The 12,882-nt window shown below is 38.5% G+C and overlaps 1 pseudogene across 1 annotated transcript in view; it reads right to left on the bottom strand.

The window, feature by feature from the left end:
- The window catches only part of SMG1P1 (SMG1 pseudogene 1), a 55,213-nt pseudogene that overhangs the window by 18,439 nt on the left and 23,892 nt on the right, over positions 1–12,882 (bottom strand). The window contains exons 6-11 of the transcript NR_027154.1: positions 11,448–11,661; positions 7,964–8,089; positions 7,513–7,585; positions 6,494–6,591; positions 4,587–4,759; positions 1,930–2,154 (exon numbers count right to left, since the gene is read on the bottom strand). The product of NR_027154.1 is annotated as an SMG1 pseudogene 1 (transcript). The remainder of the gene's footprint in view (positions 1–1,929; positions 2,155–4,586; positions 4,760–6,493; positions 6,592–7,512; positions 7,586–7,963; positions 8,090–11,447; positions 11,662–12,882) is intronic.

The raw sequence follows: 12,882 nt of genomic DNA, 5'->3' as shown, positions 1-12,882 counted from the left end.
AGTAAACTATAAAATTAGTTAATAATAATATATCAATATTCACTCCTTTGTAATAAATGTACCACACTAACACAATATGTTAATGAGGGGGAAACTGTTGGGATGAAGAAGGTATATGGGAACTCACTGTTTTCTGCTCAATTTTCTGTATATCTAAAAAATGAAGTCTTTTAATTTAGAAAAATATATCTAAGCTATATTTTAAGGCCTTAATACTGTGACATTAAAGTGTTTAGACACCTAAATAGGACACACGTATTTTACAGTTATCATGGGCATTTTTTCACATTAGCAAAGAGAGGTGTAATTCTGGCAGAAATGCTCAGCAGAATGTCATCTAGAATTTGCTTTAAAATAATCCAGTTGGAGATGAAAGGATAGCAAAGAGGCCTAGATGAAACCAGATGGGCCATTTGTTTCTAATTATAGAAGCTGAGTGTTAAATATGTACAAATTTATTATACTATGCTCCCTATTTTTATGTGCTTCAGAACGTCCATAATAAAAGTGGGGGGAGGATATTTATGGTTAAGAAATTAAAGGAGGCCGGCCGGGCGCGGTGGCTCACGCCTGTAATCCCAGCACTTTGGGAGGCCAAGGCAGGCAGATCACGAGGTCAGGAGATCGAGACCATCCTGGCTAACATGGTGAAACCCCGTCTCTACTAAAAATACAATTGTGCCACTGCACTCCAGCCTGGGCAAAAGAGCGAGACTCCGTCTCAAAAAAAAAAAAAAAAAAAAAAAAAAAAAAAATTAAAGGAGGCCAGGCATGATTGCTCACACCTGTAATCCCAGCACTTTGGGAGGGCAAGGCAGGAGGATTACTTGAGACCAAGAATTTAAGGCCAGCCTAGACAATGTAGCGAGACCCCTTCTCTCCAAAAAATATAAAGGTTAGCCAGGCATGGTGGCATGCATCTGTAGTCCCAGATAGTCGGGAGGCTGAGTGGGAGGATCACTTGAGCCCAGGAGTTTGAGGCTGCAGTGAGCTCTGATTGTACCGCTGCACTCCAGCCAGGGGAATACAGCAAGATCCTGTGACCAAAAAAAAAAGAAAGAAAAGAAAAGAAAAAAAGAATCTGGTGCGTAGAGCAATGTTTCCTCAGAAAAAACGAGTAAAGCTACACTGAGACTAGCTATCAACCACTAAAAATAGAGGCCTGGCAGAGTGGCTCATGCCTATAATCCCAGTACTTTGGGAGGCCAAGGCAGGTGGATTGCTTGAGCCCAAGAATTCAAGACCAGCCTGGGCAACATGGCAAAACTCCATCTCTACAAAATAATATAAAAAATTAGCCAGGTGTGGTGGTGCACGCCTGTAGTCCTAGCTACCTGGGGGGCTGAGGTGGGAGGATCACCTGAACCCAAGAGGTCAAGGCTACAGTGAGCCAAAATCATGCCACTGCACTTCATCCTGTGCAACGGAGTGAGACCCTGTCTCAAAAAAAAAATTGCATTAAAAATAAAAGTAAATAGACACTAAAATGAAAGCACAGATTATAAGACTGATGAATGTACTCTAAAAAAATTATATAATAAAGCAAAACCCTTATTTTTTTTCTTTTTTGGAGACAGGGCCTTTTTTGTCACCTTGGCTGAGTGCAGTGGCACAATCAGAGCTCACTTCAACCTCAAGTTCCTGGGCTTAATCGATCCTCCTCCATCAGCCTCCCGAGTAGCTAGGACTGCAGGTGCACACCACTACACCAAGCTAATTTTTGACTTTTTGTACAGATGGGGTCTCACTACATTGCCCAAGCTGTGCCAGAATTCCTGGATGCAAGCAACCCTTCTGCTTTGGCCTCCCAAAGCGCTGGGATTACAAGCATGAGCCACCATACCCAGACAAAGCCCTTAATTTCTTACATATCCATTTAAGGGCCTGAATAAACCAACACATTAAAAAGGAAAAGAATAATTCACATACCAGCGTGAGTAAATTCAAGACTGAGATGATATAATCGGTACCACAAGTCTGGCAATTCTCCAGTTGGTCTAATCCATATGTAATGACCATGTCACAATGTATAGTCATGCTAGGATCCAAGCTGCCGAGCAAAACACCAACACGCTCATTAGCAGCTGTCAACACAGCCTCAGAAAAAAACACCTGGTTTGCAGCCGTCACACATCTCATTACTCTGTACAGAACCTGTAAATGGGGAAAACCAGCAGCTTTTTAAAAAAATTCACGTGCTTCCACAAAGCAAGAAAATACTTTCTATTTAATGCAATTTCAACTGAAAATTAACTGCTTGCCTTGCCAGCAGTCTCTTAATATTCTAGTTCTCAGTAGCTGAATAATAATGATGCCTTTACTACAATATGTAAACATGATCTTGGCTAAAAAATCCTAAAGTGCTACTATGACAGGAAATGGAAGCTGCCATCCTCTATTTCCCACATACCCAACTTCGTTTCTCCCAATGTCACTAAATGGCTGAAGCTCAGAATCTTTATCATGAAATACACCACGACAGTAATGGTATTGACAGCATGGGAATAGCCTGCCCACACATACTACAAGCTAGCTCTTGGGCTTTTGGGAATCAATCTTTCAAAACTGAACATACAAGTCACTTTAAGCTTATTAAAGTTTCTATCTACTGATGGTCTCTTTTGAAAGATAAGCACTCTCATGCTTGCCACATAATATCTTCAAAAATCATATTATTTCCAATACACACACACACAAAATCCCCCACTTAACTATAATGGCCAATAATTGTGTACTAAATTTCTAATAAAATAGGGGAGAAAACAGAGCAAATGTTAAAAAATATTTCTATAATATTTAACAACCAATACATACAGGATTTTATTTAGTCTACCCATAGTTTTCATTAAAAGTATCCTTAGAGGTTGGGCATAGTGACTCACATCTATCATCCTAGCACTTTGAGAGGATTAGCTGGAAGGTTCTCTTGAGTCCAGGAGTTTGAGACCAGCCATGTCAACATAACAACACCTCATCTCTACCAAATTTGTTTCTAAATTAGTTGGGTGTGGTGGCTCACACCAGTAGTCCCACCAACTACTTGAGAGGCTGAGGTGGGAGGATCACTTAAGCCTGGGAGGTCAAGGCTGCAGTGAGCCAAGATCGTGCCACTGCACTCCAGCCTGGACAACAGAGACCATGTCTCCAAAAAAAAAAGAGTGGAGGGGAGAGGGCGGAGGGGGAAGCATTCTTGGCCATGCATGCACAGTGGCTCATGTCTATAATCCCAACACTTTGGGAGGCTGAGGTGGGAAGACTGCTTGAGGCCAAAAGTTCAAGACCAGCCTGGGAAACACTGAGACCCCATCTCTACAAAAATAAAAAATTAGCAGGAGCTATGCTGGGAGGATCACTTGAGCCCAAGAGATAGAGGCTGCACTGAGTCGTGATGGCACCACCCCACTTTAAAAAGGAAAAAAAAAAAAAAAAGCTGGGTATGGTGACACCCGCTTGTAGGGCTGAGTGAGGTGGGAAGTTCACCTGGGCCCAAGAGTTCAAGACTACAGTGAGCTATGATTGAACTACTACACTCCAGCCTGGGTGACAGAGTGAGGTTCCAGCTCCAAAAATAAATAAAAAAAATAAAAACCCCACCATTCTACCATTCTCAAAGGCCTAAAAGATCCTCATAAATCAATATACACCTATCCTATAAATTATGTCCCCTTTATTTTATGTCTGAATTAACGGCTTTTTATTTCAACTCTGTACAGTCTTCAAACAACCACCTTTTAGACATTAAAAATGAAGCAAAGATATTAAACCATTTTGAAACCATATTGGTTTAAAATACCGATATGCTGGTTTCATTTATCTTTAAGTTCTGACATTTCTGCTCAAGTACACAACTTACTATATAATCAATATCCTATTTTATTTAGCAACATGTTCAGCAAAAGTATATGCTCCTAAAAGCAAGTTTTATCCTAACGGTAAAATTTTCATCAGTTAGATTAAATTTTTTATGACGGTATCACACATGCTTCTTTCTCCTTATTCAAAGCAGAGTACAATGCCTGGGGTTCATTTCTTGTGTCTTTTCCACTGAACCCTCACTGGATGTGCTATATACAGTGCAGCTAATGTCTGAGGCTGCTGAAGTGTGGCAATCTAGCTACCTCATTTTTAATTTGTTTATGTTCTTTGATATCAGGCTATCAAAGAATATAAAGATACACAAGTTTTCATATGAGTTCCATCTTATGCTCAGAGAAGATTACTTTCTGAGGCTTCTCCTATAGTGTGCTATTCGTAATATGTTGAAAAACTAAAAGGAAACCCAATAATTTAAAAGTAAAATTATAAGAAATATTATTTAAAAATGAAAGAATAAGATTTAAAAATTCAGAGTGGCCTTTTGTCATGGGAGGGTAGGGGAGTTGGATGAAAGGAGGATGAGATATAACAGGATTCCCTGCTTTTCTGGTTGTTTAAGAAAGCAGTCAGACAATATATACATATATACATACATACATACATGCTAAACAAATGAAGGATTAATAACAGTTCACCTGGTAAAGAGAAGCATTTACAATGTAAAACAATTTTATTTTTGAATGACACTTCAAATGCCCAAAAGCACTTACATCTGTTACGTATGCCTCAGTAATTGGAGGGCCCGAATTGGGCTGAGGCTTTCCCCAGTGCTCCTCACCACAGTACTAAATACCCGGAGAAGCGCAGCCAGCTTTGGTAATGACACTGATGGAGGAGGGACGTCTTCATCCACTGATTCCCCAGCGGCCACATGGCTGAGGTCCTAGATGTGAATTCACAGCATTCTTAATAAGTAGTACATTGTTTAAAAAAACAAAACAAAACAAAAAAAAACTCTAAAATATTTCAATCAATTCATTTTAGAATAGATTTTTAGGCTTTTAGAAAGAGAACTGTGGCCCATGAGAATATTCATGACTCTGAATATAAAAATGGGTTTTACCTAATTATTTCAAAAAGCCAACATTAAACCCAATAGACAACAAATTAAGGAAATAATCTCTTAAATCAACTCAGAAAGCTGTTGGGGAAAAATAAATTCTAGCACATATGCTCTAGTTATATGTAGGTATAAATGAAGACGGAAGCTTTTGCCACTCCTGAATTAGTTTTTGGCTAAAAATCTCATTCTAGGTATTCTTTGAGCCACTCAGCTCAACAGTAAGTCCTCCAAACCAAGAGCATGCACATGAAGAGCAAAGGGAGATTACAAGACCTGGTCTACAGATGTGTAACTGAAGAAGTACGATATATGAAAAGGACAAGATTCGCAAAAACTAGGATACCAGAACCAATGTATACATCTACCTAAAATTAAGCACCAAAATAACAGAAGAGAATGAGATCTTAAGGATAACAAGGGGAAGCATCTCTACAAACTAGAATGTGTGGCTTATGAGAGGTAGATCAGCTTTAAACGTGGGCTGTGAAAAAAGACATTCTAGGTGTGGGGGCAAAGAAAAAACAACGCAGAAGCAAAACATTTCCTTGCTTTTCTAGGAAAGAGTAAACACATCAGTACAGCTAAAGGTACTGAATTCCTGTTGACTACAAGCAGCAAAGATGAAAAAAACAAGATGAGGCCAAAATCTTTATGGGAGCCTTGACTGGTTGATCTGAATAAGGGAGAAACACAAAGAGATTCAGATAAGAGATGGCACAGAGTTAAGCCATGACAGTGGGGCCAGAAAAGCCAAGTACCAGTAACAGAGGCTTCAGCAGCGCTCTTAAAGCTCCTATGCTATATTCGTACAGCCACAAAAGCTGGCTGAAGCCAAGGCTTGTCCTCCAAAGTACGATTCAAGATCTCCTGTACATATGTAAGAGGAAAATCTTTAGGAGCTTTTGGTGTTTTGTGTTTTTTTATAACACAACATCAATTTGCTTTAAGACTCTGAAGACTGGGAACAAAAAATAAAAATAAATAACAAAATATGTCTTTAGAAAAATACCAGCTACCGAGAGTATGTAAAGCTTTGCGAAATACGAAGCTTGCAACGTTTCTTTTAGTCTCTCCAGTAATTCTCCTGGTAACTTAAACACATCTGAAATAAATGTTTAAAATACTGACTGGGCACGGGGGCTCATGCCTATAATCCCAGCACTTTGGGAGGCCGACGCGGCTGGATCACCAGTGGTCAGGAGTTTGAGACCAGCCTGGCCAACATGGTGAAACCCCGTCTCTACTAAAAATACAAAAATTAGCTGGGCGTAGTGGCGGGCACCTGTAATTCCAGCTACTCGGGAGGCTGAGGCAGGAGAATCATTTGAACCCAGGAGGTGGAGGTTGCAGTGAGCTGAGATCGTGCCATTGCACTCCAGCCTGAGTGACAGAGCGAGACTCCGTCTCAAAAAGAAAAAATTTTTCAAAATATTGCAATGGGCTTGTAATTTCTGCTTAAATGTCAGGAGGTCTGAGCCATTTTAAAATAAATCTAGCACAATTTAAGATTTTTTCTTAACCAAAATTTTAAGAAACAGCTTTCTATATACTCACCTCAGCATATGCTTCCATGTCTTCTAGAAACTGACCAAGTAGAGGCGTAGAAAATGCAAGATCAGCTACCCAAAATGGCTCCAAACTCTGCAACCACCCTTGGAATCGCGTAAGAAATTGTGAAAGGGTAGGGGGGAGAAAAAACACCAAAAAATCCAAATTAAAAAATATAAGAGGCTTCTTTTAAAAAGTATCTGGTTTTCAAGCAGCATACCCTAAAACATGTCCTATATCATAAAATTAAGACTGCTAAACATGCTGATCACGATTAACCAATACCTCTTTAATTAATACCTCCTTAATTTCTGCAGAAATTAACAGGTAAATGTTATTTCCTTACTTTTTCAGTAAATTTCATATCTATATTGTCACTACACATGACTTAAGACTAAAATGCCACAATCTACCATTGGCCCGGCTAATCCCAGGGCCACATCTAACCATTAAAGGTGTATACTCATCTCCTCAGTGAAAATGAAACAGACCACTATCACCTGAATATCTTATTTTCAAAAGTTTATTACACCAAGTAAGTTACGAGAAACTATGACACTTGAAACAAGCTGAAATGTGCAAATGAGCCACGCTAGTCATTCACTTAACTCCAAAAAAGTGGGAAACAAAACCACTTCTCATTTATGACAATTCTCCAAATTAACCCTATATTTCCTTTTTTAAAAAAATAACCAGAAAAACAATAAAATGTGACAAATAACTTGGATCTTCCATTGTCCACTTCAGGGTATTGCCACTGCAATATATTCTTACCATATACTTTCCTACCAGTACAAACTACAAATAACTTGGGTAAGTCCTGTCTGTACTTACTCTACCCACCTACTAGTAATTTCCTCTGAAAATATATATTTAGCTAACAAGTCATGTTCATTTACAATAAAACATTTCTCTGAATTAGTTTTCTTGCATTATTAAAGAAATGGTATTGATAGATGGTCACTGGGGGACCACTGCTCCTCCCCGACAGTATTTAAATAACTGGTATAGGCTGCAAGACTTACCAGATACCTGCTGCGTGAGCGAAGGTTTCTGAGTATGATCTCTATGCCATCCAACTAATATACCAACTGTATCCTTGATGGAAACAAAGAGAGAGGGGGCCAATCATTTTAAGATATTACTGCAATCCACCTGTGGACCATTTCACAGCAAAAGATCCTAAAAGGAGCATCTATGTTCTACCTACTTGACATTCTAGAAACTTAGAAAGGGGAGAGGGGCAGGAAAATAAAAGAACTACATTTCTGACAACAATGAAATAGTTTATTTTCTTCAAATATTTTAAGGTACGAACGTCAGAAAGAAAAATGCGGCATTTAACCCTGGAACCTCAAATATCACTGATTATATTCAAAGGAGCAGAGGCACTGTTTTCCATCTGATTCCTCAGTTCCTCACACACACAACCATCCCCCTCACCCCATGATCTGAACAGCGGAATGAGGAACTCACCCTAAAATTAGTGCTGAAAATATGAGGGTAACATCGAGCCACCAAAAGAATGCACTTAACACATTTGCAAAGCAATTCTGGTGTATCCACATTTTCAAGAATTGACTGCAGGCTGGTCATTACAAGCTTAAAAATAAAAGTTACAAACCGTGAACATTCAACAAAATAGGGAGAAAACAAGCAAATTAGGTTCATTATTTACGAAGTGCCTACATAAAAACCTGAGTATGAGACCAAGAAAAATAGATTCTGTAGTTTTAGTTAAAAAAAAAAAAGAATTGACTTGTAAATCCCAACTGCTTGGGAGGCTGAGACACAAGAATTGCTTGAACCCAGGAGGCAGAGGTTGCAGTGAGCTGAGATTGCACCGCTGCACTCCAGCCTGGGAAATACAGCCAGACTCCATCTCAAAAAAAAAAAAAAAAAAAATTAATAAATAAATAAAATAAATAAACTGAAAATATTTCGCTCCACTAAGCTGTTAAGCTAAAAACAGATACTGTTTTCTCTTCTTCAATGTTTGTTAATATTAGTCCTTTGACATCAGTTAACATTAGTCCTTAATAACATCTGTTTACAATATCCCTAAATGCTCTCTTTAAGATTCTACCTGTGATTAAATTTCAAATACAAAAAAGTAAAATGGATTTGGGAAACTTTTCTATAAAGTACAACAATTACTTTGCAATCCAAAATATAAAGCAAATTTTATATAATTTATGCTTTAGTATATTAGTACTTGCTTCATATTAAAATTAAGGAAGATCAGTATGGCACCACACATGAATAACATGCAGGCTCAGGTTACCATTATACATAAATTTTTAAAATAAATATATGGCAAAAATAAAATAATAAATAACTATTTGTCATTCCATTGAAAGAATATTTATTTTGCAGCTGTTAAAAAACATTTTTCCCTAAAAAAGGAAAAGCTGTGCTTTACATAGCAATCTTATCAAAGAAATGCTAGAATCAGAAAACCATCATTTTAGGCTGGGTGCAGTGGCTCACACCTGTAACCCCAGCACTTTGGGAGGACGAGGCAGGTGGATCACCTGAGGTCAGGAGTTCAAGACCAGCCTGGCCAGCATGATGAAACTCCGTCTCTACTAAAAATATAAAAATTAGCAGAGCACAGTGGCACATGCCTGTAATCCCAGCTACTCAGGAGGCTGAAGCAAGAGAACTGCTTGAACCTGGGAGGCGGAGGTTGCAGTGAGCCGAGATCGTGCCACTGCCCTCCAGCTTGGACAACAGAGCAAGATTACGTCTCAAAAAAAAAAAAAGAGAAAAAGAAAACCATTATTTTGCAATAGCCAATGTTATAATCTACACAGGCACAGACTATCAATGCTAAAAATCATTTAAAAGACATCTTGGGGTAATTACAGAAATTTGAATATAGAACACATATGTAATAAAATTCATTTTCTTAGGTATGATTACAATATTCTTGTTATACAGAAGAAAAACCTTATTCTTGGGAGATGCATACTAAAACATTATGGGGTGAACTGTCATCATGTGTATGGTTTTCAGATGCTCAACAAAAGTGTGTGAGAAAATAAAACTGTGGCAAAATATTAGTAACTGGTAAATCTAGGTGAAGCATATATTATGAAATTATTATCGTATTTACAGGTATTTATTTTACTGGTGCATCTATCTTTCTATGAATGTGAGAATTTTCACAAGAGCTGGGAAAATGTTCATAATTATGCATGCAGAATAAGCCCAAGCTGGTGGCATTCTGTTCAGTTACAGGTAATTTTCTGAATCTTCCCTCAAATTTTTCTCAAACCTCTATAATCAAGGGGAAAATGTTTCATTTTGTTTTGCTTTTTTGAGACAGGGTTGCCTATAATGGAGTGCAGTAGCTTGACCATAGCTCACTGTAGCTTCAACCTCCCAGGCACAAGTGATCCTCCTGCCTCAGCCTCCAAGTAGCTGCGATTACAGGTGCATGCCACCATGCCCAACTTATTTTTTTTCCTTTTTTTTTTTTTTTTTTTTTTTGTTTGATAGAAACAGGGTTTCACCATGTTGCTCAGGCTGGTCTCAAACTCCTGGACTCAGGCAATTCACCAGCCTCAGCCTCCCACAGTGCTGGGGTTACAGGAGTGAGCCACCATGCCCAGTTAAAAATACATTTTTTATTTTAAAAAAAAAAAAAGAATATTCCTTATATTTCCTTTATATTTTTTAAACTACATACCCAAAATAAAGCATATCAAAAACTGTAAAAAAAAAAAAAAAAAAAAAAAAAACCCTAATATCAGATATTCCAAACACAACAATACCATAATTTAATCACTTAAAATCTTACTCAAAACTAAATCAATGATCTTTTAGGCCAGGTGTGGTGACTCATGACACTAATCACAGTACTTTGGGAGGCCGAGGCAGGAGGATCACTTGAGGTCAGGAGTTGAAGACCAGCATGGCCAACACAATGAAACCCCATCTCTACTAAAAATACAAAAATTAGCCAGGCTAATGGCACACTCCTGCAATACCAGCTACTCGGGAGGCTGAGGCAGGAGAATCACTTGAACCTGGGAGGCAGAGGTTGCAGTGAGCCGAGATTATGCCACTGCACTCCAGGCTGGACAACAGAGCAAGACTCTGCATAAAAAAAAAAAAAAACGAATGACATTTTAATATATTCAGATACACAAATATGAAATACAACTAAGTAGAGCCAGTATTCATTTACACATAATTATCTTATACCATTTGGAATAAGAATTTGGGGCACGTTAGCAAACCAAAAGGCTCAGAAAGAAGTTGTGATATTTAGTTCTTGTCTCCCTCTACAAATGTGAAGCACTCTTCTATCCGGCATTACTAGTGGAGTTCCTATTTTCAACTTTGCAAATTCTGGTCCTAAGCAATCTCAAAAAAAACATTTCTAAAAACCAAAGGGGAAAAAAATCTTTTTTTTTTTTTTTTTTTTTTTGAGACAGAGTCTGGCTCTGTCTCCCAGGCAATGGTGCGATCTCGGCTCACTGCAACCTCGGCCTCCCGGGTTCAAGCCATTCTCCTGCCTCAGCCTCCTGAGTAGCTGGGACTACAGGCGCGTGCCACCACGCCCGGCTAATTTTTGTATTGTTAGTAGAGACGGGGTTTCACCATGTTGGCCAGGATGGTTTCGATCTCTTGACCTCATGATCCGCCTGCCTCAGCCTCCCAAAGTGCTGGGATTACAGGCGTGAGCCACCACGCCTGGCGTGTAAGCCAATTTTTTAGAAGAAATCTCTCCCTCTCTCTCCACATATATGCATATATGTATGTAGCACTGATCCTTGAACAGTGTATCCTTTACTCAAACTGAGAAAGAGGAATTTTTAAAACATATTTCCTATCAGTAGATAACCCCTATTCTATGATTCCCTTCTTCAAGCTCCCCTCCAAGGACATGTGTTAAAGGGACAATTTTCTTCCCAAGTATATCATGCATTTTTTCCCCCTTCATTCTTACCTGCATTACAGATGAAAAGGCTTTCTTTTCTCCTACAGTCTCTAGTGCTTTGTAGGTGGCACATAAGTAGAGGAGTTTAACTTCATCTTTTGCAGATGAGCTAAATTTGCTAAAAATCCACTTGAAGATCTTCTCAGCCTCATAGCTCAGAGAAGCACAAAGAAGGCCGAGACAGCAAGCTCCCTCCTGTCTCAACTCCTGAAGCAATTTGCTACTGTGTTTATTTTAATGCAAACAAAAAACACACACAAAAGGCTTAAGTTTTCTATGATGACACGAGTAATACATCTTACAAAAGAATGTCTTAAGTGGTTTTTTAAATTTCTATTCAAACTACATAAAAGGTTGAAATTTTCTCCACTCTAAATACTACATTCTGTCTAGCCTGCATTGCCCTCAAGTATCTGTCTGACATCACTTTCTTTTTACAAAATCAATTATTTACAAACAGTGAGGGAAGGCCCAAAAATGCTAAATTCCATCTCAAACTGTATTAAATAACTCTCAGAAAAGGGCAGCAACAAATAAGTAGATAAAACACTCTATACATAACTACATTCTACATAATATCCAATATGTAATGACTATAAAATAAAAAATGGTAATAGTTAAATACAGAAACTTAAAAGGATAACAGTAATGATTTACATAGAACTTTAATAAGTAACTCTATAAAACAAAACCATCAAAAGGCACTAAGGTTTATGACCAGCTGAGATAAATTTTGGGTACTTGCCAACACTGCAAATCTTTGGGAATCACCATAACAAAAAATGACCACACACCTCTGGAGACTCTAATAGCCAGAGAATATATGGTTTGGATCCACTCTTACCCAAAGAAGGAAATTCCTTTTTACCTCTATTCTCTAAGCAGTTTCAAATTCTCTTGTTTACAAAAACTAATTTTATTCTTCATGCCTGCATCAAGAGTTTATGCCATTCCATAAGTCAAGACTCAGTTATCCAGTGAGACTAGCAAATTAAAAAAATAAAATATTCCAGCCAGGCACGGTGGCTCATGCCTGTAATCCCAACACTTTGGAAGGCTAAGGTGGGTGGATCACCTGAGGTCAGGAGTTCCAGACCAGCCTGGCCAACATGGTGAAACCCTGTCTCTACTAAAAATACAAAAATTAGCTGGCAGTTGTGGTGCACGCCTGTAGTCCCAGCTACTCGGGAGGCTGAGGCAGGAGAATCACTTGAACCCGGGAGGTGGAGGTTGCAGTGAGCTGAGATCGCACCACTGCACTCCAGCCTGGGCGACAGGGTGAGACTCCGGCTCAAAAAATAAATATTCTTTTCAAGTGGATTCCATTTGTATTCAACCGTAATTAACACATAATTAATGCAGATAAAAATGACAAGACCCACTGAAATGTCAATAAATGTTCATAAACAAAGCCAGTGGGTTTGTCTTCTTGTGTATTGTTAAG

This window comes from Homo sapiens, chromosome 16 (genome assembly GCF_000001405.40).
Source record: "Homo sapiens chromosome 16, GRCh38.p14 Primary Assembly".
Lineage (NCBI taxonomy): Eukaryota > Metazoa > Chordata > Mammalia > Primates > Hominidae > Homo > Homo sapiens.
The sequence above is the reverse complement of the archived record's forward strand: the minus strand, read 5'-3'. Positions and strand labels throughout refer to the sequence as shown.